General features: G+C 46.2%; 2 long non-coding RNA genes across 2 annotated transcripts, besides 5 other annotated features; one reads left to right on the top strand and one right to left on the bottom strand.

The window, feature by feature from the left end:
• Window positions 811-1312: an enhancer, noted in NCBI's record as "H3K4me1 hESC enhancer chr3:193513397-193513898 (GRCh37/hg19 assembly coordinates)". NCBI's record gives its function as "activates a minimal SCP1, AML or CMV promoter by ChIP-STARR-seq in primed H9 embryonic stem cells {active_cell/tissue: H9 hESC(primed)}" and the evidence as "EXISTENCE:reporter gene assay evidence [ECO:0000049][PMID:30033119]".
• Window positions 4614-5271: an enhancer, noted in NCBI's record as "OCT4-NANOG-H3K4me1 hESC enhancer chr3:193509438-193510095 (GRCh37/hg19 assembly coordinates)". NCBI's record gives its function as "activates a minimal SCP1, AML or CMV promoter by ChIP-STARR-seq in naive H9 embryonic stem cells {active_cell/tissue: H9 hESC(naive)}" and the evidence as "EXISTENCE:reporter gene assay evidence [ECO:0000049][PMID:30033119]".
• On the bottom strand, window positions 4836-9668 carry LOC105374283 (uncharacterized). The gene is made up of 4 exons (XR_924839.2): window positions 9526-9668; window positions 5771-5888; window positions 5315-5427; window positions 4836-5094 (listed from the first exon to the last, which is right to left on the bottom strand). It is a non-coding gene; the product is annotated as an uncharacterized LOC105374283 (long non-coding RNA).
• Window positions 15406-15700: a silencer, noted in NCBI's record as "tiled region #5455; HepG2 Repressive non-DNase unmatched - State 10:DNaseD, and K562 Repressive DNase matched - State 12:CtcfO". NCBI's record gives its function as "represses a minimal TATA promoter and a strong SV40 promoter by Sharpr-MPRA in HepG2 and K562 cells {active_cell/tissue: HepG2 | K562}" and the evidence as "EXISTENCE:reporter gene assay evidence [ECO:0000049][PMID:27701403]".
• Window positions 15953-16012: a silencer, noted in NCBI's record as "silent region_15010". NCBI's record gives its function as "represses an Ori minimal core promoter by ATAC-STARR-seq in GM12878 lymphoblastoid cells {active_cell/tissue: GM12878}" and the evidence as "EXISTENCE:reporter gene assay evidence [ECO:0000049][PMID:35858748]".
• Window positions 23376-25350: an enhancer, noted in NCBI's record as "VISTA enhancer hs1563". NCBI's record gives its function as "enhancer in: midbrain (mesencephalon)[5/5] | forebrain[5/5]" and the evidence as "EXISTENCE:transgenic organism evidence [ECO:0001131][PMID:17130149]".
• Window positions 24535-25968, top strand: LOC105374282 (uncharacterized). Its single transcript, XR_924838.4, has 2 exons — window positions 24535-25104; window positions 25455-25968. It is a non-coding gene; the product is annotated as an uncharacterized LOC105374282 (long non-coding RNA).
• Window positions 25969-27893: the final 1925 nt, after the last annotated feature.

Below are 27893 nucleotides of genomic sequence, written 5' to 3'. Positions count from 1 at the left end.
TTTTTTCTTTGAGACGAAGTCTCACGTTGTCACCCAGGCTAGAGTGCAGTAGCATGATCTTGACTCACTACAACTTCCGCCTCCTGGGTTTAAGTGATTCTCCTGCCTCAGCCTCCTGTGTAGCTTGGATTACAGGTGCCCACCACCATGCCTGGCTAATTTTTGTATTTTTAGTAGAGACAGCATTTCACCATGTTGGCCAGGCTGGTCTCGAACTCCTGATCTCAGGTGATCCACCCACCTTGGCCCCCAAAGTGCTGGGACCCAGCTTTCTTAATTACTATTGCTTCTCTTCTTCCCATATTCATCCAGCTACTTTAATGAACACCTACTAGGGGCCAAGCATGAGATCATCCTTCATTCTGTCAAAATATACTTGAGAGTCACTACTGTACCACACAGTCATTTGTCCTGTTCTCACGAGTTCACAGTCTAATAGGAGAACTGGACATTAATCAAATAACTGCACACAAAATTAAAGTTAAAGCATCTTTAGGGCTATAAAGAAGATGCACATGAAGCTCTAGTTGCACGTAAGTGGAAAATTTAATGTAGACAGAGGGGTGGAGGACATTTTTCCCAGGAGAATGACAAGCAGTTTGATACTTAAAGGATGAGTCAGCAACAGCCAGGTGAAGAGGGGAAGAACGGGATTTGCTGGCGGGAGTCGAATGTACAAAGGCCCTACGAGAGGAGGGACCCCGTGAGTATGGGGGGATGGAAGAAGAGCAGCGTGGCTGGAGTAAAGAGGGTCAGGGTCAGCCGGGCGGGGTGGCTCATGCCTGTAATCCCAGCATTTTGGGAGGCCGAGGTGGGTGGATCACTTGAGGTGAGGAGTTCAAGACCAGCCTGGCTAACATGGTGAAACCCCGTGTCTACTAAAAGTACAAAGTTAGTCAGGCCTGGTGGTGGGCACCTGTAATCCCAGCTACTCGGGAGGCTGAGGCAGGAGAATTGCTCGAACCTGGGAGGCGGAGGTTGCTGTGAGCCCAGATTGTGCCACTGCACTCCAGCCTGGGCGGAAGAGGGAGACTCCATCTCAAAAAAAAAAAAAAAAAAAAGAGGGGGTCAGGGTCCAGGTGGCAGGGAGACACCAGGTTGTGCAGGGCTTCACAGTCCACTTTAAGATGTTTTAACTTTAAGAACAATAGAAGCCACTGTGGGGAGACGTGGCATAAAAATCAGATTTGCTTTCGTGGAAGATCCAGGAGGCTGCCATGTGGAAGAGGCAGGAGTGGACACAGGTGGGCAGTGAGGGGGCTGTAGTGATGAGAGACGGTGACTCAGCCTCAAATGGCAGTGGGAGACACGAAGAAGCAGACAGAGTCAGGGACCATGAGGACACCATCATCTCCAGGGCTTCGTGAAGGGTTAGTTCCAAGCAGAGAGGGCAGTGCTGTGGCTGACATCTGGGCTTCTGGAGCATGTGTGTCATGGAAGGAGACCAATATTTTCTTATTCAAAGCATATTGTATCCACAGTTTTGCCGCGAGCATTTTCTACCTCATTAAATACTTGTTGAGATGTGATGGTTAGAACGTTAGTCGTTGCTGGGAAGAACTCACTTTCCAACTTCTCTACCAGATTCTGTGTAGTGAGGACTACTTACTACTTGGTGTGAGGACCGTGTGTTTGGCCATCTTCCCACACCCGGAGCCCCTCCTCCCGTGCCTTTCCCTGTGCCTTGCTTGCTGTCGGTGATTAATAAGTGTTTGTGGAATGACGGGATAAAGAAAAGGAATGCCTTTAGGAGTGATGTCTGGGTTCAAACAGCCACTTAGGCTTCCACATGACTTTAGATCTTCAAAAAGTAAGACTAAATGATTACTTACAGTCCACCTATTTCTAGTCAAAAGTTATGTGTGACTATTAAGTTTATCCAGTTGGAATCACAGTACGTCAACTTCATTGGAAGAAAGCAGGGAGAGGATAGAATCTTAAATCTGTGGAAACTGAAGAGACCAACTGCCTGAAGAAATCCAGACCAGATATTTCATTAAATTGTGATAGCCCCCAAAACAGAAACAGCAATTGCATGTTCCAAATGTAATCATTAGATGCTGCTGAATGAAGCATATATAGCCTTCCCTAATAGAAATACACGGCCCCTTAGCCATTGTGAAACTAAATTCATCTTATCTAATTTTCCCAGAATTCTTGTGCCCTAGTTTTGGCTATTTACCAATAACCTTGAGACAGACGTTTTAACTAAATACCTTTCTTCAACAGCTCACAACTGTGAGCCCCTCTGTTTGGAAAACCTAGATTTATCCATCTGCTCCTTTTACAGACAGGAGCTGTTTCTTACACATCCCATTCCCTTATTTACTGACCTCTGTAAGATAAATTTACTCATTCATTTCCTCAGCGACCCCTGACGGTCACGTCCCCCTATCTCACGGATGAGATGCCAGTCCAATATGTCATCTGTGTTTTGCTTCAGCCTGAATTCTGGGAAGTGTTGCCATTTCTCTTCCTGAACATTTGCTTTGAAGATAAAAAGAGGATGTTCATCTCCCCCAAGGACCTCCCCGGGCGTTCCTGCCTGTCAGTCTTGTCCTTGCCTTGGGAAATTACATCAGCCAAACATGAGCTGGACTAACAACCCATCAGGTGACTGCACTCAAATGAAGAGAAGCCCAAGGAAAAGTCCTCTGTAGCATCCTTCTTGCCTTTGATACCCAGGCAATGACTTTAGGAAGGTGACTTGTTTTCACTAACACCTCCAGATGAATGCAGTCAATTTTAAAACCAGGCTCACGATCACTGAGGCAGTAAAAAGCCCCATGGCCTGGTGACCTGGGCTCTGGGTCTGGCTTCGTCACTGACCAGCTCTGACCTTAGAAATGTCTTTACTTCCCTGGCCTCTGGGTCTTCAACTGGAAAATGGGAGAGTTGGGTTGAAGTGCTACTAACGTTTTCAATTATATGTTTACTCTTTCTTTATTATATCTCCAACTGCTCTATGCTCTATGTTTGAAAGAATTTTGACTTCTCAACACATTGAACTTGTTAAGCAGCAGCCTTTATTTTATTTCTCTTTTTTATTCATCAAAGCATACACCAGAGCCTCTGATCAACATGACTGGTTAATCTTCTAGCCAAATAAAACCTCATTGTAAGGACACATGGTTTCTTGTATGATGTTTGAAATTTTGAAAGTATGTCACAAATCCCTACTCCAATCCTCATGGACCCCTAAAAATTCTAAGGATCCCAAATGAGGAACAAATGGGCTAAAACACAGTTAGAGAAGCCTTCTGTGTCCAGTGTTGTGGCAAAGATGATAGAGCCCCAAAACCCCTGTATATAAAAGAAAAGAGAAAAGAAAAGAAAAATGTTACAACACTGGTTTAATTAGCCCAAGCTCAGGCTGTGAAAGCTCAGGCCTTTGTCTTTCTTCTCTGTTGGAGGAGACGGCTTTTTTCCGTCCTTCCCCTCCATTTAATCTTGCCAGTACCGGAATTCACTGAATAGCTCAGCTCTCTCCACCAACAAATACCCAAAATGATGAATAACAAACAACTCACCTATCTTTTCGATGGTTTCATTTACGAACTTCCCTAATACCTAAGGATTATTCTAGACTTCAAAGAATGCATTTTCTATCCGACTTTATATTTTTAATGTAGTGATAGAGTACTTACTATTTTCCAGGCAAACAGCAGACACGCAACACATGCTTGCTGAATGTATGAATGGACTCTGTTAAGCATTTCCACATATTCCATGTAATTTAACTCTCTCAGCAGCTCTGTAAGGTAGGGAGTATTCTTCCCATTTCCCCACTGAGGAAACTGAGTCTGAGGCAGGTGCTATTAATTGTTCAGAGTTATACAGCTAGTAAGTGGTGAGGCTGGCTTGAAGCCAGATCTTTTGTCCATACATCCCTGGGCAGGTGCCCTACAGGGCAACCCCTTTTGGATTCCTGGTGCTCTTCCCTTGGGTGTTTCTGAATGAGCTGACCCTCTCTCTCCTCCTCACCATCACCAGCCCTACCCAGTTCATAAGTCTAACCTCCAGCCGTCTTCTGTCTTGCTTCAGTATTCTTTTGGACATATCTTGCCACCCTGATGTTGTCATTCTGCAACATCTTATTTGAAACTATGGACAGCAATTCCCCCAAACTTTGTAGCAAGTTCTTTGCAATGTTTTGGTGGGATCACACAGCAGCCCTGTTAGGAGCGGTCTCTGCAGTCTCCTCATGCATCCCCTCACTGGGCAGACAAGCACAGCCCCAGGGCCGCTTGGAGGTTCTCTGTCTTTGGCAACTGCACATGCATGAATCTATTCCTTCATCACTACACCTGGGTCACTGTCAATTTTGGAACCACGTTACATTTTTTTTCCCTCTTTCAGAACCTAGAAGGGGCTGGGCGCAGTGGCTTAGGCCTGTAATCCCAGCACTTTGGGAGGCTGAGGTGGTGGATCACGAGGTCAGGAGTTCAAGACCAGCCTGGCTAACATGGCAAAACCCCATCTCTACTAAAAATACAAAAATTAGCCGGGCGTGGTGGCAGGCGCCTGTAATCCCAGCTACTCGGGAGGCTGAGGCAGGAGAATCACTTGACCCCGGGAGGCGGAGGTTACAGTGAGCCGAGATCATGCCATTGCACTCCAGTCTGGGCGACAAAAGCAAGACTCCGTCTCAAAACCAAACCAAACCAAACAAATACCTAGAACTGAGAAGGTCCCTTTTGAACAACTGGTCCAATGCCTCCATGGTTACCGCCCCCCACCACACCCCGCCACACACACACCTATGCCCATTTTACAAATAAAGAAACTGAGGTCCCTGAACTCCTGGATAAAACGTTACATCAGAGGACACAAAAAACAATGAATAACAAATGTTTTTTTCTTGGTGATTGATAGTGGAGGTATTTGAAAACATTCCTTTTTCTAGGATAGACGAGCAAAGAACTCATGGGCTGATGGCCCTCAGTATTCATCCTGTTATCGATGACAAGGCCTGTGTCGTCCCTGCCTCTATCAGCATGCTAGCTCAATTGCTCAGCATGTGGTGCCGATTGGAGTGCTCTTGCTCCACCACTTTGGGGCTGAGTGCCCTGAGACAGGGCCATGGTAAGACTTCTAGAAGAGAAACAGGAAGAGGAAACCTGTTAGTCAAGTATTTCAGCTTAGTATAAAGTACCTCCATGGCACGTCCGTGGCCTTGCATGCAAGCACACACAAACACACACACACACACCATCCTGCCCCTTTGATTCAAATAATTATATCCATAATACGTTGTTTAATGAAAAAAAAAACATCCCAAGGCTAGTGTTTGGGGACAGACCTCCCTGCTTACCTGGTTTGCTGAGAAAATTCCAAGATTTAGAGTCAGAAGAAACGGGAGTAGGATCCTGGCTTTGACGTTTACACAATGTTCAACCTGGGGCGAGTTCCCTTTGGAGTTGTTTCCTGATACATAAAATGGAAATGCCACAGCATTGTTCACAGTGGTGTTGTGGGCACTAGAACAATAAAGCCTGTGAAAGCCGTTTGCAAACTCTAAAGTGCTGCCCAAACAGGAGTACAATTAATACCAGATTTTTACTCCAGGGACCTTCTGGGAAATTCATGTGCTCTGGGGTAAGGGGATCTCTCTCTTTCAGGGCTATTCAACACATGTGGACAGATGTCTTGTCACAGTGCTAGCGGGCGAGGGTGAGGCAGAAATGGGGATGGTGCAGGCTCCGTCCATTCTATTAGTGAGTCCAGGACTACCCTGAGTATGGACTGCCTCTTGAAGTAGTGAGCTCACCATCACTGGAGATATTTAAGCATGGAACAGACAATCGCTTTGCAGAGAAGCAATGGAGGAAATCTAAGCATCAACTGGATGTCGGAATTGATGACCTTCGAGGTTTCTGCATACTTCTCTGGTTTTATGGAAAGGAAAAAGAGAGTTCCATTCAGCAGGGTGTGTGGTTTGAGTTCTGCCAGGGGGTCATCATTCAAACACAAGACAGTGCAGGTCTTTCTTGGGGTCTATGGATTCATGCTGGGGGAGTGGGAGAGATGGACACACAGCAGAGCTCTGAGTGACTACAGGACAGAGAGGTGCTCCGGGGCAAGGCAGTCACAGTGTGTGCATGCCCACCCAGTCCACGCTGCTGCTGCTCACCCTTCTCTAGGGTAGTGATGCCCACATGGCTTGTCCACTCAGGAAGCCATGGTGGTTTCTCCATGCCTGATGCCCAAACTTCTTCACTTGATATCCGTCACCATCCAAGGACTGCCTCCAGCCAACCAGCCTAATCAGCCAAACTGACCCTCTCATGATTGCTAACAAGCCATGGCTCTCCTTCCTGTTTGCCTTCCCCCACCTAGAATGCCTTGCCCCACTTCTTCCACCTCCCCAGTCTCTGCACAGCAGAAGCACTCATCCTTCTAGGCATCACTTTAATGCCACCACCTCCAGGAACTCCTCCCTGATTGCTCTCCCCCCTATTCTCCAAGTGATTTTTCCCTCTGAGCTCACTTCATCTTTCCTTCTCTTGTAGGGCTTATTCTCTATATTAGAGCTAATTGTGGGTATGTTCTGTCTCCCTCTACCAAAATTTAAATCCCTTAAAACCAAGTTCTCTGTCCCTCTATTCCCCAGCAACTACCCCAGCACCTGGTACCTTTCCCAGCACCAGCAAGTGTTTGATGTTGAATAAGTAAATAAACAAATGCACTTCTACTTCCAAACACAAAAATCAGCAGCAGAACGAACTGATGGATTCATTCTTCTCTCCCTGAGTGCTAAGTCTGCAAAATGCCACATCTGGAACACAGATAGAAGATCTAAGGGATGTCAGCAAGAGGAGATCACTGGAAAATGGGGAGTACAGAGATAACATCAATTGGTAATGTGAAATCATCTAATAAATGGATCGGTGATTAATCACCAATTAACCACAAGTCCCAGGACAGATTTTCGAAAGGTGCTCAGAGTTATTGGGCCTACCCAATAAAAAATTATAGTAATCATGACCTGATTTAATTTTTTAACACTGTTTTACACTACTCTCATGGGATAGTCAGGCCAAATGCAACCTCAAAGGGAGGAGTTGGGAGTGGTGGTGTGATGGTGTTGAAAACACTCTAGTCTGGGAAACAGAAGATGTGGGCTCTCTCTTAAGCTCTGCAACCAATTTGGTATGTAGACTTGTCAGAATGATGACCCTTTCCTTCCCCTTCTAGCCTCCTGTAAATCACAGTGGAACTAGGTGCTCCCTCAGGTTAGAGAACGTGTCTGGTTTTTCCATCTGCCTTTGCAATGCTTTGGCTGTTTCCCACTGACTTCTAACAAAAGGCCCTCTGGGTCTACTTAAACACTGGCCAACTAACAGCAGCACATTGCTGGCCAAAGCAAGGTTGACTGGTGAGAACTGTGAAATGGGAGTCCTGAGAAAGAGAGGGCTCCATCAACTCATGAGCCAGGATCTGCCCTTCAGTTTTGATGTTACAGTCACTGGAGATCATTGAACAGGTTAATCAAAGCCAGTGGTCCTGGGTTGGATTCCTTGCTCTGCCATTTTGTCTTTTGGTGCCTCAAGGCTCCCACAGATAAACTGAGGCAACATCTTTGAGCCAGGCTCCTGGACTGCATATTTGCTAAGCTGGCCACAAACACTGCTTGGCCTTCCTCAGAACCCAGTGGTGGGAAGCAGCCCTCTGCGGTGCAAGGAAGAAAACCAGGGATGTCCCCCACCCTCTGCCACCCACTGCCCAGTGCAAATACAGTGCCCATCCCTCAGCAGCAAGTAATTAAATGTTCCCAGGGTGGCCTGTAAATTCTTCACTTCTCTCTTTGGGAGGTAGAAAGGAAAGGAATTCCTACTGAATATTTCTCTATTTTTCTATCTGTGGGTGAATGTGGGTTGAGAGACTGTGTATGTGTAAGCATGGCCCCCCAACCCTGTGCCTTACACAACTAGGTATTTACACACCAGATGAACCCTGCAGGGAAAGGCAAGTCCCCAGCTGCTGTGGAATTTTAAGAGATCTTTCTGGAATGGCCTTATGGGATGTCTGGTTCTAATTGCCTCCATCAGCCAGAGCTGGCGAGCTGGCAGGAGCAATGAGAGGTGCAACTGAACAGATTCCAGTTCACATCAGACCCCCAGCCCTGCCAGAGTCCCCCCAGGGCCAGAAAAGAGAACAAACGTGGCCAAGACGGTGGGTGTGGTGTGGTGGAAAGAACACTCTGCTGGAAGTTGGAAGGCCCAGCCTGCGGCCCAGCCCTGCTGCTAACGCCCTGCCTCTCTTTGGATCCATCACTTTCCTTCTCGGGACTCCAGTTTCTCATCTGCTGAATGAATAGTGAGGACTGGCTGATCTCCAAGGCCCCTTTCTAGTCTAAGATTCAGTGACAGAAATGTCAAGTTCTCATTGCGGAGGGGAGACATTTTCTTCTGAACTTTAAAATCAGGTGCTCTGCATTTTAGATCTTTAAGAAGAATGGGGAAGGGGCGATTTCATTTCTACCCACTATAACCGACCCTTGTCCCAGCCCCAGCCCCATTCCTTCTTCTTGCTGGCTGGGTTGGCTGGAGGTCTGAGCGCTGACCCCGCCACAGAGGCAACAAGATCCCATAGTTCCTTAGTGCCCCCTATAGGCCCCAAAGGCAGTCACACTGAAACGGGAGTGTCCGTGAAGCCACCTTCTCCCCAGCAACACAGGGCTTCGTCTGCTGCAGAGCCTCCGACTTTAGAGGCAGGTGACACAAATGGGCCCCTAATTTGTGATGAATTTCTTCTCTTTTGAGCCTGTTGTTGTTTTAAGGCTCAGACTAAAACCAGTTAACCAATAGCCCCAGCAGGCTGGGATTTGAACACCTCACAGAGGGTCACCAAATAGCAAATACTTCTAGTCCTGCACTTGCCCCGCCAGCCCCTGCCAGGCCCCTCGCCCCACTAACCCCTGCCACTGATGCTTGCACATCTCCAGTGACTGGGAGCTCTTTTCTCTCCAAGTCCATCTGGATCAGTTAGGAATTCTGTTTAGCTGGTAGTAAGAGTCCTAATTGGAGTGACTTTGCCAAATTGGGAGTTTATTTGCCCATCTAAAAGACATCTGTAGATAGGCTGCAGCCTACAAAATGATCAATCATTACCAGAGCACAAGCCTCGCATCAGCCCTGTAACCTCATGGGCTACTGCAGAGTCCCCTGCAGAGGACTACGGGGAACGCCAAAGGCCAATGCAGCGCTCTGCCCACCAAGTCGGGCCCCTTGAAGACCCACGTCATGACTTGTGCTTGCGTCTCGTTGGCCATCCTTGCTGCAAGGAGGGCTGGAAATGTAGCCTCATCACCACTCCAGATAAAACTGGAATCCGATACTAAGGAAGAAAGGGGGAATGGACACTGGTCAGCAAGGAACAGGCTCTGCCACACCGCCCGTGTGCCTTGAGAGAAGTACCGAATGGGGTGGCAGCTGTGTAGTTGCCTCTTCCGGATGCTAACCTCCCTCTGTCTGCAGAGCAGGCGTGGACCTCTTGTGTGCTGCCTCACCTGGGTGTGCTCACCTCATCCAAGAGAACTCCTTGCCTCCTCACACAGGACCAGAGCCTTGCCAAGTTGGTTGGGAGAGATAGTATCTGCCAGATCACTCTCGACTGCAGATGATGCCAGGGAGTAAAACCTCCAACTTCCCCAGAGCCAGGCCTCTCTGGTGCTTTCCTGAGAGAGAACCACGCCGGCTCACCTACAATGACCCAAGCCCAACTCCAACACGCTCCCCAACCCCCACCTCCCCACCCACCTCCAGCGCTCTCCGCCAGGTCTAGAACCAGTGGATATCTCTTGCCAGCAGCCTCTGGCAGCTTTCTCCTAGTCTCCCCGCCCCGTGGGGGAGATCCTCATTCCACGTTTTAATACACACTCACTCCACAGACAGTTCATTGCTTTCTCTCCATTTGTTCTGCTGGGAGCCAAAGCCACTCACCAGTTCAAAGGAAAAAAAAAACTTTTCAATGTTTAAATTTGATATTTAAAATTGTAGATGTAAAACACAGACAAAACTGACTTGGTGTTCTTAGTTTGGCCCAGCTAACACCACAGCTAACTTCTTTTCCTTCCTTCCTTCCTTCCTTCCTTCCTTCCTTCCTTCCTTCCTTCCTTTCTTTCTTCTTTCTTTCTTTCTTTCTTTTTCTTTCTTTCTTTCTTTCTTCTTTCTTTCTTTCTCTCTCTCTTTCTCCTTCTCTCTCTCTTTCTTTCCTTCCTTCCTTCCTTCCTTCCTTCCTTCCTTCCTTCCTTTCTTTCTTTCTTTCCTTCTAGATGGAACCTCACTCTGTCACCCAGGCTGGAGTGCAGTGGCGCAATCTCGGCTCACTGCGACCTCCGCCTCCCAGGTTCAAGCGATTCTCCTGCCTCAGCCTCCCAAGTAGCTGGGATTACAGGCATGTGCCACCATGCCCAGCTAATTTTTGTATTTTTAGTAGAGACAGGGTTTCACCATGTTGGCCAGGGTGGTCTCGATTTCTTGACCTCATGATCTGCCCGCCTCAGGCTCCCAAAGTGCTGGGATTACAGGATTTTTTTTTTTTTTTTGAAATGAAGTCTTGTTCTCTTACCAAGGCTGGAATGCAGTGGCACAATCATAGCTACTGCAGCCTCAACTTCCTGAGCTCAAGTGATCCTCCCATCTTAGCCTCCTGAGTAGCTGGGATGACAGGCACATGCCCAGCTAACTTATTTTACTATTTGTAGATATGGCGTCTCCATATGTTTCCCAGGCTGGTCTTGAACTCTTTCAAGAGACCTTCCCATAACAGCTAACTATTAATATTTAATCAGCTGGCCTCTGGTTTTCTGGTCTCAGATGTCCCAGGTCCACCAGGCTTAGAAGGGAGGCCATTTCTTCCATCAGGCTTGGAAGGGAGGCGGTTAGTTCCCAGGCTCTGCAGCATTTGGCGAATGTCCTTGGACTGCTGCATGGTCACTTTCCTATGAAGAAAACTGAGGCACAGAAAGGCTCTCTACGACAGTTGTCCCTTACCCTGGGCCAAGATATTCAGGGTAGAAGAAGGGCCCAGGTGAAGGGAAGAGAAAGCTGGGGGCAACACAGTGGGCTCCATTTGGGGAACCATTTTCTTTTTCTTTTCTTTTTTTTTAGACGGAGTCTCGCTCTGTCTCCGGGCTGGAGTGCAGTGGTGCAATCTCAGCTCACTGCAACCTCCGACTCCTGGGTTCAAGTGATTCTCCTGCCTCAGCCTCCCGAGTAGCTGGGATTACAGGCATGCGCCACCACACCCAGCTAATTTTTGTATTTTTAGTAGAGATGGGGTTTCACCATGTTGGCCAGGATGGTCTCGATCGCCTGACCTCGTGATCCACCCACCTCGTCCTCCCAAAGTGCTGGGATTACAGGCGTGAGCCACCGCGCCCGGCCTGGGGAACCATTTTCTAAATCTCCCAGGCATGCGTCAGGTCTTACTGTGTCTCCATCTGCACTTTTTCACTTCAACGGCCATCTACATTATTCAATAACTGCACCAATTGTTCGTTATACGAAACTGCATTCTCTTTACAGAGCATCATTTCAAGCAGGCTTCAGTTTTTGCCACGCTTGTTTGACGGGGTCTAAATGTGCCTATTCTTCCTTCCTGTCACTTTCATCCATTCAGTTCTCTCATGAGACTGAACATGTTTGAAGAGAGAGACCCTTAACTATACAATCAGACTAGGATTTCCCTTTAAGATGGAGTTTCCAGGAATGAACTCTGCTTAAAAGCAGAGACCACCTCTTTGGGAATGTGAGGGAGAGAAATAATCAGCTTCAATTTGTGAAGAACCATTTATCATGAATGCTCTGAAACCATGTCTGTTTTAGATCTTTTCTCCAGCATAATTCAGTGATTGCACATATATCATCGAAGCTTCCTAGACTCCTGGGCTCAGCAGATGGCCCCCCAGAGGCCAGCTTTTCCATTTCTCATAGTATACTTAGGCAAAGACAGAGTGTCATTTTAGCACTTTCCTAGTTGGTATTTTTAAAAATATATTTTTGTACTGTTTAATGCTAGGTATTTAATACCTGGGAGTACTTAAAACCCTAATGGCAAGTTGAATTATCACTGCTTTGCAGCCATGGAAGCTAAAAGAAAGCTTAGAAAAAAATGATTTGGTGCATGTGTCATCTTCAGTTCAAGGTGGAAGGAGAAACCTGAGTCCTTTGACCGTATCATATTGACAGCGTGACTTCTTCCTAGCGCATCTGAGTATATTGAAGTTATTATTTAGAAAACTCAGCCAAGTCTCTCTGTTCTCAGATGCTCAACTCTAATGCCTCCAAAGCACAAAATCAGAGTAGCTCAAATAGGGCAGCAGCTTAGTTTGGATAAATCATGTCAGTCCCTGGATGATTACTGTCCTTATAAAGTAGGGGTCACACCCCCCAAAGAGCAGTGCAAAATCTCTTGGAAAATGTACATGGGAGATGCAAAAAAGAATGCATCTGCAGTCATCTCTTTATATCTATGTGGAGATTATCTGTTTAACAAGCATTAAATGAGAGGTTCATCTCTTTTTTTTTTTTTTTTTTTTGACAGAGTCTCATTCTACAGTCCAGGAATGCAGTGGTGTGATCACAGCTTGCTGCAACCTCTACCTCCTGGGCCAAAGTTGTCCTCCCATCTCAATCTCCTGAGTAGCTGGGACTGCAAGCACACAGTACTAGGTCTGTTTTTTTGTTTTTTTGTTTCTTTGTAGAGATAAGGTCTCACTGTATTGCCCAGGCTTGTCTTGAACCCCCGGGTTCAAGCTCTCTGTGTGTCTCAGCCTCCCAAAGTGCTGGTATTACAGGTGTGAGCCACCATGCCCAGCCTGCATTGTGTTTTGTCTTGGGTTCACAGTGTAGGGTTCACATTCGGACCACTGGTGCAGAAGAGGGTAAATTTAAACCCCTTCAAGTCACAAACTTGCAGGTATACGTGCTAAGTGAATAAAAGGAGGGAGTTCAAGTGGCTCACAACTATAATCCCAGCACTTCGGGAAGCCGAGGTGAAAGATCGCTTAAGGCCAGGAATTCAAGATAGCCTGGGCAACATCTCAAGATCCAATCTCTACAAAAAATCTAAAAAACTTTTTAAAGGTGAGGGCAGTGGTAAACAGTATAATACACTGATTTTGTATTTAAAAAGGAAAAAGGAATAGGGATACACATATACCTACTTATTTGCATTGTATCCATGATGACTACATCTGAAGGAATGCACCAGAAGCTGGAAACATTGTTCCTAGAAGTGGAAGATGGGTGATGGGAGGAAGGAGTAGGAGGGAGGATTTCTACTTTATATCGTTGGTACCATTTTAAACTTTAAACCATGAGAACGTATTACCTATTCACCAAAGAATCAATACAATTTGATGTAAAACATCATGCAACCTGTTCCATGGCAGGGTCAGTGGCTCCAGGTCCTGGGAGTAGGAGAGCAGTAGGTTGGAAAGGGTTGTTTTAGAACCTGTCTCAGCCAGCCTGGCTGAGAGTTGTGACATCCTTTGACCTCAGACTGTGCTCCTCCTGCTACCCAGAGTGTGGCCAGGAGTCACAAGCTCATGTTATTTCTTCAAGCAAATGATGATGTACATCGGTTGCTGGCTGGCATATCGTGCTTTCCCAGCAAAGCAACAAGAATGCTTATGTCCCTGTCTGGGATCTCACTGAAGAGGGTTGCAGACCAAACAGAGGGAACCCCAGAAGCTGGTCATGATGGGCTGGGAAAGTATGTGCTGTAAGGGAGGTCTGAAGCCGGGAGACCAGAGGGCTCGAGGAGCCAGGAGCCGTGTTTCCAGCCATCTGAAGGGAAACCAGAAGACAGGCTAGATGAGAGCTGGGTGGACCTGTGTCCTGGGCAACCTGCAGACTTCCCAGAGCCCCTTTCCTCATCCGCAACATGGGACAGTAATATCCACAGCAAAGGTCTCTCTGGAGTTTTCTGGTTTACGACTTAATGCATGCAAGATGTCTAGCACTTACTAGGCACCCTGCAGAGGTTTCTGAGTCCCATCCCCACCCCTAATCATTCCTGTCAAACCACTAAATTTGTTCAGAGTGGCCCCAGTGTGTGAAAGCTGCAGGAAAAGAGACTTGGGCTCCTATTAGAAAAGACTTTCCTATAGACAGAACCATTCAAAGGTGGAGCAATTCTGTTCTGATGGGCATTTTTCAGGTAACAGTGCTTTATTGGAAGAAACTCAAGGCTCTTTTTTCTGGGTCTCTAAACTCATGACAAACGAAGTAGGATCAAAGACCCCTGGGCCCCATCTCAGACATGGCCCTTCGTGGCCCCTTCCACCTCACTCGCCTCTCCATTCCTGTCCCTCCTCCAGCCAGCCTGTGCAGCTCCCAGAAAGGCTCAATTAAGAAGGCATTTCCAGACCTCGCTGCGGCTGGCACCACCACATTTTTTGCATTCTCTGCCTCTGCGGCTCCTGGAGGCATGAGGTGTGTATCTGCCTGTGTGTGTGTCTCTTATCTACCTCAGGAGAAAAGGACACGAGTCTTGTGACTCAGCCTAAGAGCAATTTCCTCCTTTGACTTCACATTTCCAATTGGAGGGACCCTGGGTTCCAGCGATAACCGTGAGAGTGTCTTCTTAGAGCGAATGTCCTTAATTGTGCTCTGACTTTCCAGGGCTTCTGAGCAGGTGCTGTTGGGAGTCCTTGAGAACTCCAGAATAAGTGAGGTCTGATCCATGCTCCAAACGCAACTACAGTCAAATAGAGGGGATACACACTTATGTTCGGTGTAACTCTCACACCAAACGAACCATGACAAATGCCACAGGGAGCTAAGTGCCATAAAGAATGATTGTAAATGTTAGATATAATAATGGCAAGTGGTTATGTTAAAGGGAAAGCAGTCCTTCTCAGTCAGAGATGCATGCAGATGTCTAGGTTGTTTTAAAATACTCTAGGGAAAGCCAGGCCCGGTGGCTCATGCCTGTAATCCCAGCACTTTGAAAGTCCAAAGCAGGCGGATCACCTGAGGTCAGGAGTTCGAGACCAGCCTGGCAAACATGGAGAAACCCTGTCTCTACTAAAAATACAAAAATTAACTAGGCAGGGTGGCGGGAGCCTGTAATCCCAGCTACTCAGGAGGCTGAGACAGGAGAATCACTTGAATCTGGGAGGTGGAGGTTGCTGTGAGCCAAGTTCACACCACTGTACTCCAGCCTGGGCGGCAGAGCAAGACTCTATCTCAAAATAAATAAATAAATAAGTAACGCTAGGGAAAAACATCTTAAGTGTTTTGGGGTGAGATGATATGATGTCTGGGGTTTGATTTAAAACATTCCAGAAAAAAGGTTGGAGAATAGATGAACAATTTGGCAAAACATTGATAATTGTCATTATTAAAGCTGGGCGTGGGTATAAGAGAGTTTGTTATATCATATTCTCTATTTTTGTATATGCTTGGAAAATTCCAGAATAAAAAGTTAAAAGGAAATGAATGGTTAATGCTGACAGGAGGTGTGTGGGTCAGGGACAGCTTCACACAGTAGGTGAGGTTGAAACTGGGCTTAGAAGATGAGTCAGAGATTGGAAGTGGGAGGGATAGACATGATTTGGAAGCTCTTGTTGGCTTTATTTTTTGTCTGTAAATCCTTCTGTTCTCCTGGGTTTTCATAGCAGTGAAAGCATTTCCCCCTCCAGGGTGTGACCTGCCCTTGTTTCAGACACCCCTTTGGATGGGGCCTCTCAGTGAGGCCTTCTTTGGCTGGCAGAGCTGGAGCTGTCGTGGCCCTGACCAGGTCTGCAGCCCCCACCCCGCTTCCTTCCTCCTCTCTCCCCCTCCATGCCCCGTCTGGGGAAAATTATCCCAGCTCCAAGTAGTAAATTTAAGGCCTTGGCAGCCCTCCCACAGATGACTCCCAAATTATCCCATTCCAAGGGTGGGAGTGGGGAGGCCAGAAGTTCAGGCCCGAGGCATTCACCCAGTCGTTTGAGAGCTCCGGGCGCCATCTGCTGACGGCACCCGGAGCTCCAGCTTGGAATGAAGGCAGGGGGTGTGCTGGAATTCACCAACTCCAGAACAAGGCCGGTCTCAGATCTCTGAGAATGAAGGGGATGCACTGTTTGACAGACACCAGGCAGAAAAGGCGAAGAAAGAGGACGTGTGTGCGTGTGCCTATGTGTGTGCCCGAGTCTGCGTTTGTGGATTTATGCATTTTATGCATGGCGACTGGCTGCTGGGCTGGGGGTGTTTTGGAGGGTGTGTTGGGATGGTCTGCATGCTTCTGTCATTGTTCCTTAGGGTGAGTATGTGGGCCGTCTCCAGAGTAAAAAGACAGTAAATAAGAGGTAATCAGACCCAGCTGTATCCCTCCGAGGGAAGTCTCCAGATGTCCTCCCATCGTTAATCCTCAGCCCAAACATGGGTGATAGGTGACTCGGTTGATTGCATTTTCAGCTGGGGAAAATGAGGCATGTGGCATAACCAGAGCCCTTAGTGAGAAGACTGGCTTCACCACAAGCATCAAATAACCTGGAGGCAAAGACCCTGGAGGTCATTGAGTTCAACCTTCTTACTTTGCAGAGAAGGAAGCATGAGTTCAATGAAGGGGAAAGCAAAAGAGATCCTATTAGATTATCCTTCAAGTCCTTCTCAGCCATGAGTTCTGATGGGCAATTCCGCAACTCACCAAGCCCAATATTTGTGCCAGGAGGGTCCTGGGCAGCTGCTCTCCTGCCTTGCCCCATCTCTGCTTTACCTCTTCTCTATTTTCTCTCCTGAAAGAATTTCCTGGCCCATAAATCCTGAGAGATTTATTATTTCCTGAGGCATCCCTTAGTTGGAAAATGTAGCTTTACAGTCGCCGACTCAGGACCACACTGGGGTCCCAGCTGTTAGCGTGGGAGCACAATTTCTCCTGCATGGTAGTGGGGAGGACGCCAGCCTTCCACCCATCGCAGAGGGGCCACCAACATCACTAGTTACATTTCCTGGCTTCTAACTAAAGCTGCTGAAACACCAGCTCAGAAGTTTCTCTCAGCAAGTTGTAAGAGCAGCCACAAAGTCTAAGAAGAACCAAAGAGCTTGGTTTCTCTCCTCGCCAGCTGGAAGCAGGGGACCTGGGATCTTCCTGTCATCACGATTATTTCTTCTCTCTAAAATGACTGCTTCTGACTCTAGTCTTTTCCCCTCCAATGTGAAAAAAAAAAAATTCCTAAAGCACAGCTCACCTCAAAATCCTGCAGGCAACACCTCCTTTTTTCATATAGGATAAGTCCAGATACTTTTATGGGTTCTTCAAGCACCTCAAACCATGACCCCACATCCCTCCAACACCTTCTCTTCATATTTTCCTATGTGCACTGAGTTCCGGCCACACTGGCCCCTTACCTGTTTCTAGTTCCACCCCCAAGGCCGTTCTGCATCTGCATTGACCATACTGTCACTCACAGCTCCCTCAACCTCAAATGCTCCTTTCTCTGTCTCTAAATGTTGAGATCCCATTTCCCAAAGACCTATCTCAAATGCCATCCTTTCCTGGAAGCCTTTAGGGACCTCCTCCCTCCAAACTAAACAATCCCTGTTGAGTCTGCTGGTGTTGTATTCGGCTTGTACCTTTTCACATTCTTCTAGGCTGCCTTATTTTACAGCTCCTTCTTCCCATTGACTATTCCCCCACTCAGATTCTGAGACCCTGGAGTGCAGCGGCAGTGTCTACAGCATCTTCCTCTTTCCTTTCATCACCCTCCTTCCTCCCAAAGATCCAGCAGTGAGGACAGTTCCCAGCAATGAGGACATTCTCAGGGGATAGTGGTAGAATTGAATTTCCAAGTAATTTATAAGCGATATTCACGTAATCTAATATTTTGACTTTTCCAATCTCTGCTCTCCTCCCTTAGGGCAAATTAACCCAGAAGAGTACTTCAGAGAACACAGACAAACTGCCGTGCAGTGAAGAGAATGTGGCAGGAAGCCCTGGTATTCTAGAAGAAGCTCTGCCCACTCCAGACAGGATCCGCACGCCTAGTGCCATGTCTATCTCCAAGGAGATCACATTCTAGAGCCAAGGACCGCCACTGAGAAGAAAGTAACGTGAGCCGTCAGAATGCATACCTGGAGCGCTCCAGGAAGGAAATCTCAGCCCCGGCATCCTCCATGGTCACACGGAGAGGGCGGGTGTCCTTGTAGCTTTGGCCCTGAGATGGGAGCTAGAGCTGGACACAGGGTTCTAGTCCTGGCTTTGCTGTAAACAGCTCCCAGACCTGGAGCAAGTGCCTTACCTGTCTGTGTAATGTGGGAGCTGATGTGGATCATCTTTAAGCCCTCTGCAAGATGGACACGCTGGGATCATAATAAGGACACATGCCAGTCAGGCCAGGTTCTTCATTTGAAAACCTTTATACATTTTTTTCTCTTCAGCCTTAATAAAATTAACTCACCTAGCATTGTATATATGTCAAGCAGTTTTGATCATCCAAATTTTTTATTGTTGGCTGACCTCTAGCCAACAATTCATTTATTTTCTGACCTTTTAAGATGTTTCGTAGCTGCCATTTCATGTATCTGAAAAATGAGATGTGAAAAGAATACACATATTTAAGAACAAAATTTTGTTTCTTTTAAATAATTTTAATATTTTTTTCTAAGAATGATACACATTCATTTTAAGTAAATTTCCAAGAATGATACACACTTGTATTTTTTCTAAGAATGATACACCTTCATTTTCTGTATTGGAAATACAGAAAATTATAAAAAAGACAAATATCTCCTAAAACCCTACTACCTAAAGATAGATATTAACAGTTTGGTGTAGATCCCCTCAGATCTCTTTCTAGGCATATTTTTTGGATATATTTTTGCAAAACTATTATCCTGTGTGAAGTCTTGTTTAAAAGCCCTGGATTTTTGCAAAACAAAATATTACGAATGTCTTTCCATGACTATACTATTCTATGGTGTTATTTTTAATGGTTTCATAGGATTGTGTCATATAGATATACTATATTTTATTTAACCAGTCTTTTGTAATCTCATAAATACCTTATTTTCATGTGTACATCTAATTATCTTCTTGGGTTATGTTCCTAAAAATAGATTTGCCCAAAGCGATAGACTTTCTCTTTCACGCAGTCTGCCCCTGGCATTCTCAGCACGTTGAATGATGGAATGTCAAAACCGGAAGGGACCTTAGACATGAGATTTACAGATTGTTTAACAGATGGGAGAGCAGAGGTCCGAAAGGGCAAGTGCCTTTCCGCAGTTCCCAAGGGAGTTGGCGGCAGAGTCAGAGCAGAGTCCCTGCTCCCTGCCCAGCAAACTTCTCCACAATTCTCTGCCTCCGTTAAAACACAGGGTGCTGGACTGCATCAACTTGAAGCATCCTTTGCAGGGTTTTAAACGTACCTGCAGCAAACCTGGGCATTTACTGAGCTGGCTTCTATTCCAGGTAAATATCTAGGCTAAATGCCTGTGCTGAATATGACCTGAATCAGCTAGGACACCAACAGTTCACTATCCCAACCAACAGAAATCCCCTCCTAGGGTTAAGATTTCATTTTTTGATTTGAGGGGTAGGACTGAGATGCTGAAAAGTAGTTGCACAGACTGGGCCTTCTGTAAGATGAGGACTGGTGTGAAGTGGCTTGAAGCCTTTGGGATTTAAATGTTCTCATTAAAAGGAGAGACAGGTCTGATGTTTGAATCCCCCAGGGTGGGTAGGGCAAGCCCCCACCTTGGCTATGGCCTCTCAGACACCAGAGCCAAATAATGCATTCTGTGCTAGGTAAGTTCCCTACAGCTCCAGAGAAACCTTCCATGGGGAATGGGGGGTGGGGCTGGGGAGGCCCTGTTTATGCTAACGAGGCACTAAATTAATGCATTACATGCCTCATTTAGCACGACTGTGCAAAATCTAAAAGTACTAATAAATTTTCCTTCTGGGGTCAAGAATCATAAAAGGATAGATGATCAAGCATTAATTAGCAGGGAAATTAAAGCTTGACGGTTTCTGTTCTATCCCTGTCTTCTCTCAAACGGCACAATTTGTTCTAAATGCCTTTTTGAAAAGTAGTCGTTCTCAGAAAAAAAAAAAATGTGACATCAGCCAGGGGAAGGGCTTCCTGTCCTCTGCGGCTGTCAGGGTGAGAGGATTTGCATAGAGGTGACTTTTCTAGAAGATCCGCACTGGGGTATCAAATGAGAAGAATCTTGCCTTCTTTTATTGACATTTTTTTCTAATAGCTTACACTAGCCATAACTTGTAGAAAAGGACATTCAACCACTGCAGAGTCTCAATGACATCTGAATTTTGCCAGATGCTGCAAAACAGAGACCACTGAAATCTTTGTCTTCATCTATAGTCTTCCGTTTGAATTTGCCAGTGACTACTGAGGACAAATCTCTATAAACACTCATTGCTCCTTCTCCCCGCCTTTTTTTTAAGGATATGTATTTATGTATTACAGAAAATTGGTTGCGAGTTTTAACACAGTTCTTAACTGCAAGTCTAAAACCTGCTGGAGACCAGTCTGCTAGTTCCCATCCCTCAGTGTGCCTGCTGGGTATAAAGTGGGATACTTGGTTAAGAAACAAAGTGGTGAGGATCATAAAACTACCTATTAGGTACTACGCTTAGTACCTGGATGCGAAACAACAGGTACTATGCTTAGTGCCTGGATACAAAACAACAGGTACTATGCTTAGTACCTGGATGCAAAACAATTTGTACAGCAAACCCCTGAGACACACAAGTTACCTACATAACAAACCTGCACATATATCCCTAAACCTGAAATAAATTTTTTTTAAGTGGTGTGCTGAACAACACTATAAATGTAACTTTCTAGAATAATAAGTCTCCCTCCTCTCTTCCCCAGGCCTGGGCTCTGGCGGGAGGGGGAGGGGAAGGTGAGTGTCTCCAGAGACTGAGGAAGGGCTGCCCCTGAGACTTCCCATCAACCCTGGATCCTCCCAGGCATCTGCCAATAAACGTAAACAAAAGCCCAGTGGAAGGCTCAGCTCCTTTGAATCCTCACGTGTTTCGGTCATGGCTTTGGAGGTATAAATACACCCAGATGTTTTAAACTTCTCCCCTGTTGTATCTAATCACCAGAACAACTGGGGCTCTTGCGCCCCTCCTCCCTCTCCTGCGGGGAAATGCAGAGAGCCTAATTAAAAGGGCTTTCCTTTGTTTCCCTAATAGCTCTCAGCCTTGGGGAGCCCAGAGCATTTGGTCAGCAAGAGAGACTCTAACATTTAAGGCCCCACATGTGAGAATGCCTGCACCAGTACGTTCAGATGCAGATTAACCCCCATAGGGAGCTGAGGGGCTAGAATCTGAGATGCATCGAGACCATAGTTATGGGGGAGCATCACCTTGCATGACTCTGCAGTGAGCCAGGGAGTGGCAGTTGGAGGATGGACCCTTCCGAGGTCAAAGGCCAGTTTTCTAACAGCAGTGACAGGAGCGGCTGCTGGCTGCTAATTCATTATAAATAGTCCCATTCTCTCCTTTCCAAGGGGCTTGACACGAGCATCCTCCTCTGGCCTCTTCTCTCCAACCTTCAGCCACCACCCAGTTCTGGCCCTGCGATAGCTTGAATTAGTCTCTGTCCCTTCAATCTCCATTGCTCATTGGAATCAATCACTGTAAGCCCAATGCATTCTCCACATTACGGCACAGCTGCTCTTCCCAAGACACAGACCTTGTCATTCCCTCGCTTGAAATCCTTTCCCAGTTCTTTCTTGACTCTAGAATAAAGCTGCAAACCTGCAACCTTCTAGGCTTAGCTTCACCTTTCCCCCTGTGCTCCTGCTGGATGTCTCGCTTTTCCTGAGCACGATTTGCCTTGTTCTTGCTGTGCCTTCCATTTGCAAAGCACCTCCCACAGTCGGGCCAGGAGAAATCCAACCCTCCCTTCAAAACCAAATCATGGACATCTCTGTGGTTCATCCTTCCTGGACCTCTGTAGGCAGAGTCGGTCCCGATTCCCCATGTCCCATTCTGTTGAAATGATCTCTGTATGTATTTTTCCTCCAGACTGGGAGCCCTATGCAAAGAAGTGGTCTGTCTTTTCCATTCTCATGCCTCCTCTCCCGGACACAGTGTCATTACCCCTGTAAGTATTGTACAGGATAGCAGTGACATCATATTTTCTAATTTAACAGGAATTTTCTGGGCCGCTGAAGGCAACCCTTAACGTCAGACATTAGACCTGTTTCCCAGAGTACTGCTAGTTAAATGTTAACCTGCAGTGTCCACCAGGCCATCCATGAGGGACCCTCCGCTCTAGCTTGGTGCCTAGCAGGGCATGAGATCCCTTAAGCCCAGACGGCTGCTGGGGCATACACCTCCCTCCTCTCAGCATTCCCTTCCAGTCAGAGGATATTTGCAGAACAGGCCAAAACTGAGCATTTTGAGTAGGGCCAAGGAACACCCTAGCTCAGAATGGATGTGGACAGAAAAACATACTGCCTGGACCCCATCTCAAGCCAGTGAATCACCATCTCTGGGATGGGGCCCAGGCCTGAGTGTTTGCAAGCTTCCAATGTACAGACAAAATTGAAAATCACTACTTTAGTCCAAAATAGGGGGACCCTTGCAACCCACTTGTGAACTCTCAAGAACATAAACAAAGCAGCCTCTCCTGAAGAGTTCTGCGAAATGCCACCCTTTCCCCACTATTCGAAGGAGTCAAACAGAGTGGGTTTAGGTGGTTTCATTATCCAAAATGGGCTGACTCCTTGGTCATAAAGTGGCAGACAGAGAAATGCAGAGGGGAAACACTGGGGCTACTCAAAACCACACAGGACCTGGGATCAAAGGACTGGGGTGCAAACTCACCCCAGCCACTTACTGACTTTTTGGCCAAATCTGAGTGTTGTTTTCCTTATCTATGAAATCCATTTAGCAATAGTTCCTACCACAATTTATGTGGTGAAGATTGGATGAGAGCTGTGAGGGCATTCTGTAAATGATAAAGCTGTTAACTGTTGTTATTTTTGGTGCTATTATTAAACATTTCTTAGTGGATGGGAAATAGGGCCCCTGCCTTACTCATTTCTGCATGCTTCATGCTGGACATCTGTGCCTGGCTCATGTCCTACATAGAGTGTGGATTGAGTATATGAATGAATAAATGAAGTAATGAAGTTAGGAGTGAGTGAATGAATGAAAGGATGAATGAACACTGAAGTTCCATGTCCAAAATCCACATGCCACAGTTCCCAAAGGAAAAAAAAAATGCTTATCCCCTGCCTTCCTGCTAAGCCTTCAGCAGACACGACCCACACATGGGGTAACTTGACAGAGAAGCAGACATCTGGGGGCCAGAACCACTGTTACAAAAACCACCCTGGAGCTAATCTCGAGGCTCAGGAAATGTCCATAACTTTGCAATTTCTGCTTTTGTCCTCATAAGCCTCCCTTCTACGATGCTGCTAACACCAGGCAGGGGCTGGCCACGGCCAAATGGACAAGAACAGGGGTCGGAGCAAGGAGCATGGGGAAAGTGGAGCCCCATCCACTCTACCCTCGTGCCCAGAAGTGAGAAAGCAGTCCTACCTCCCACAGCACCGGCCCATGGGCAGAGGCCACCAAATAGAGTTGGGGCAGAGCTGCTGGAGTCTGGGAAAAAGACCCAGATTCAAGTCCAGGGGCCACTGCTTCTCTTCTGTGCGGTCTTGGGTAAGTCACTCAATCTTTTTGTAAAAAGGGGCTAACAACTCCTTTATCACAGAGCTGAGAAGAGTACAGAAAATACTTTTGGAAACTCCTAGCACAATGCTTGGCTTTAAATAGTCCCTTGTTCATTTTTTCAACAAAATTGGTTTATTATGACTTACCAAGTCCCCGACACTATTTCAGGACACAGGGCATTCAATAAATCCTTCCCCCCTTGTGTCTTTTCTTCCTCCCTTTCTTTTTCTCAGAGTAGGAAGAGAACGTGGTATCATTTGGTTTAAACGTAAAGGTGTGAATCAGTGTAACTGTGACTGTTGTTTATAAGAGAGCTTCTCCCCCATGATGTGAGACAGAAAAGATGCAGAGAAGATGTACAAATACACACTTAATACCACGGACAGAAAAGCACGCCTATCTTTCAGACAATTTCTCTCAACAGGCTGGAAAAGGGCAAATTATATCAAAACCTCTGATTGGAGAGGCCAGCACTTCCCCAGAAGAGAGGGGGCCAGATGTGTCCAGACAGTCTAGGAGGGCTGGGGGAATTTGAGGTGCTCCTCCCTGCTCCCGGTTATCTCCCATTTCCTTTGGGAGCCCCGGAGACACGGCCTTCCCAAAGCAGCCTCCGAGGTGGCCTGTGAAGCTTTTGTCCTTGGCAGCAGAGAAATTTCTGCTTCAGTGGTTTCAAACAAGGCTTGCATTAACTCCGGGCCTGTGAAGAGAGCACGTGCAACAAAACCCAACACCGTGTCCCGGCCCTCAGACAAGCACAGAAACAAATGGTGCAGGAATTTTTCAGAATAGAATCATCCGCTCAATGTCACTGCATACATTTACCTACCTCAGTGCCTATTCAGGGGCCCCTTTAAAGGGTGATATCAATAGAGATGGATCAGACAACATCTCTATGGCAACACCTCCACGGAAAAATGATGGCGGCCACAGCAAGACGAGCGATGACTATTTTTTTTAAATATACACAAATACAGCACTACGCACCCCAAAGCGCCCTTTGGCTCCCAGGACACAGGGCTGTGTTTAAGACAACAGCATAGGAGCTCATGACAAGACTAATTAGGAGCACAAGGGGAGTATGCAGGCTCAGGACCGAGAGTTTGACAATGAATTAAGACCTGGGGCTTTGGGATACTGAAATTTGTCAACAAAATTAACATTCCCTTTCCTGGAAACTCTCAAGCTGAAGGAGTTTACGAGGACCTTATTTTAAGTGTCCAACTTGGAGGGAATTATCAGAGAGAGAGAGCGAGAGACGGTAAAAACAAACAGTAGCCGCCATCAGCCCCTTCAACAGCACTGTAAACCTAGCCAAGGATGGGTTCCCGCCCACTGCTTCTCACAGCCGTTCTCCTCTGATGCCTTCGCAGATCGGAATTTGGGGAAGGAGTGGCCTCCATGACCTCAACATCAGAAGCCTAGAGGGTCTTTGTGGCTTAAAGGGCTGTGGTAAGAGAAAGCCTAAAATAATACTTATATTAGGAACAACCAACACCACGATAAGAAGAAGAACAGAAAAGGAAGACGTGGGTTCCATTTACATAGGTACTTTCAGGAGGTCTTGTGTACTGAACGCTTTAGAAAGAAATTGGTCACTGTCTCAGCAAAGCAATTTTTCCACTTGTTGGAAAGGATGATAAAAGGAGAACCGTCCCTTCATCCGTTGCATTGTGTGTCACAGCACAGAAATGGGAGGGAAACAGGCCCAAGGTCTGGGAGGCTGCTCATATTTCTCCACTTACTTTTCCCGTGACCTTAGGCACGTCATTAACCTTGCTTGCCTCTCCCGCTCCCTCCAGACACGTGAAGTACTGGCTGCCGATTGTAGAGGAGAGATTCCTGGGCAAGTGCAGAGTTATATAGAGTGCCCTTTCTACCTGACACACGAAAGAAATGAGCTGTAACAGACGCCAGCGGCAGGTGCAGGACCTGTGAGCTTCACTCACTGTGCCCCAGTGTTTGGGTTCCTGCGCTTTGAACCGCCTTACTTTAAGAAGCCTTGTCATTGGAAAATTGACCGCAGCTGATGGCTTCTGTCATTTGTGCTGTTGTTTGGAGGGCAGGGCTCTGCGTCGCTTTGTCAGGCCGCACAGGGAATGCGCCACCTCCGGCCCGCACTGTCTGCCTACCCAGACCCACAAGGCTCCTCAAAGCCTCCTCACCAAGGGCTGACTCTTTTGCCTTGTTCTTTCTTTTTCTTTCTGTTTATTCTTTCAAAACATGTACTCCTTTTAGGCAGTTGCGAGAACTTCTACAATAATCTGTGTTCTAAATTTTAGGAGCCACAATAAAAACCTCTCTTTTTTTCCTGCATTGAGACATTCTTAAAGTTAAACACATACAAATTAGATGATTAAAATAATTCCATTTTCTAGGATCTATAATTCAAAACAAATACCTCTTACAGAATTTTTAAATTCTATTAACCTAGTTAAAATACCTATTTTATATCCATTTGAGATATAACAAATATTAATTTCACTAATTTATATTGGTTTCTCTATCTCACTAATATATATTAGTTAAAATGTCTGAAAGGGCTACGAAAAAGCATGAATAAAGACTCAAAACATTTCATTCAATTTAAGAAAACAACATTACATTCAGAAGCAATTAATTCAATTTTGCTTACTCCATACATTTTCATTTTATTTTAATCAATTATCTCTCCAACATTATTGCAATATAATGCTGTAATAAACTATATTTGTTTTAAATAGAAGATATTACATTTTCTAAAATCATGAGTTTTAGCTTTCATAATGTTATTTTTTTCAAGCAAAATCAAACTTTTTCCCATTCTTCCTGTGACAGGAGTCAGTTTCAGCCCACTAAAAAGAGATATATGGCTGTTCGGTTCATATCAATTGATGGTAAACACATGTTGAAAGTCCTGTTTTTCAAGCTTGCATTTTGTTCATTGAACTGATGACAACTATCATTTCCACAGGGTTTAGCACTTCACAATATCAGCTGTACATTTTGAGCATGGCAAAAGAATTGATTGAGCTTCCATTTATTTTTTGCCTTCAAGGATATGTATGTAATCCACAAATACAATTCACAATACAGTTAAGAGTTGATGTGGGCCGGGCGCTGTGGCTCATGCCTGTAATTCTAGCACTTTGGGAGGCCGAGGCGGGCGGATCACCTGAGGTTGGCAGTTTGAGACCAGCCTGGCCAATATGGCGAAACCCCGTCTCTACTAAAAATACAAAAAAATTAGCCAGGTGTGGTGCCGGGTGGCTGTAATTCCAGCTACTCAGGAGGCGGAGGCAGGAGAATCGCTTGAACCCGGGAGGTGGAGTTTGCAGTGAGCCGAGATCATGCCACTGCACTCCTGCCTGGGCAACAAGAGCAAAACTCCGCCTCAAAAAAAAAAAAAAAAAAAAAAAAAAAGAGTTGATGTATACAGTGGCTCTACCATGCTTGTTGCCCTGAGCAGAGTTTTTAACATGAAAACAGTTAGGGCAGCCTGCTACTACTAAGAAGCAGAGGATCTAGAAAGAAGAGGCCATCTACTGCCAATCCTTGGCTCTGATTGGAGGGAAGCAGGAGGCCCCTTGCCCCTCTCCCTCTGCTGCCAACCAGAAAATGAAAGGATCATCACTTTCTGAGGTCACACCAAAAAAGACAAAATGTGCAAGCACCACCACGTCCTCTGGGCACACTCTATCTTGTTACAGCTCTTTCGAGGTTCTTGGTGAACCCCATGAGCACATTTTCAATGTAAAAAGAAAATCACACAATGAAGTTAGGATCAGACACTTAAGGCAGGTATTGTGTACTGATTTGCTAACAACTGGGGACATGTTCATGGACTTGTTGGTTTTATAGTGACATTTGCCCCCACTTCAGGGTATGTGGGTGTGTTGAGGGAGCAGTGGGGAGGTGTTTCCTCACCCTTCTGTCTTAATATAGCCTCATCAAAATAGCTCGGTGTGTTAGGTGTTTCTTACATTGCTATAAAGAAACACCTGAGACTGGGTAATTTATAAAGAAGATATTTAATTGGTTCATGATTCTGCAGGCTCTTCAGGCAGCATAGTGCTGGCATCCGCCTGGCTTCCAGGGAGGCCTCAGGAAGCTTACTCTCATGGTGGAACGCAAAGGGGAAGCAGACACATCACATGGTGAAAGCAGGGGCAGGTTGTTGGGTGGGAGGGGCCTGCCACACACTTACACAACCAGATCTCAAGATTACTCACTCAGTTAGGCCGGGCGCGGTGGCTCACGCC

This window comes from Homo sapiens, chromosome 3, assembly GCF_000001405.40.
Source record: "Homo sapiens chromosome 3, GRCh38.p14 Primary Assembly".
In the NCBI taxonomy this organism is placed as follows: Eukaryota; Metazoa; Chordata; class Mammalia; order Primates; family Hominidae; genus Homo; species Homo sapiens.
The sequence above is the reverse complement of the archived record's forward strand: the minus strand, read 5'-3'. Positions and strand labels throughout refer to the sequence as shown.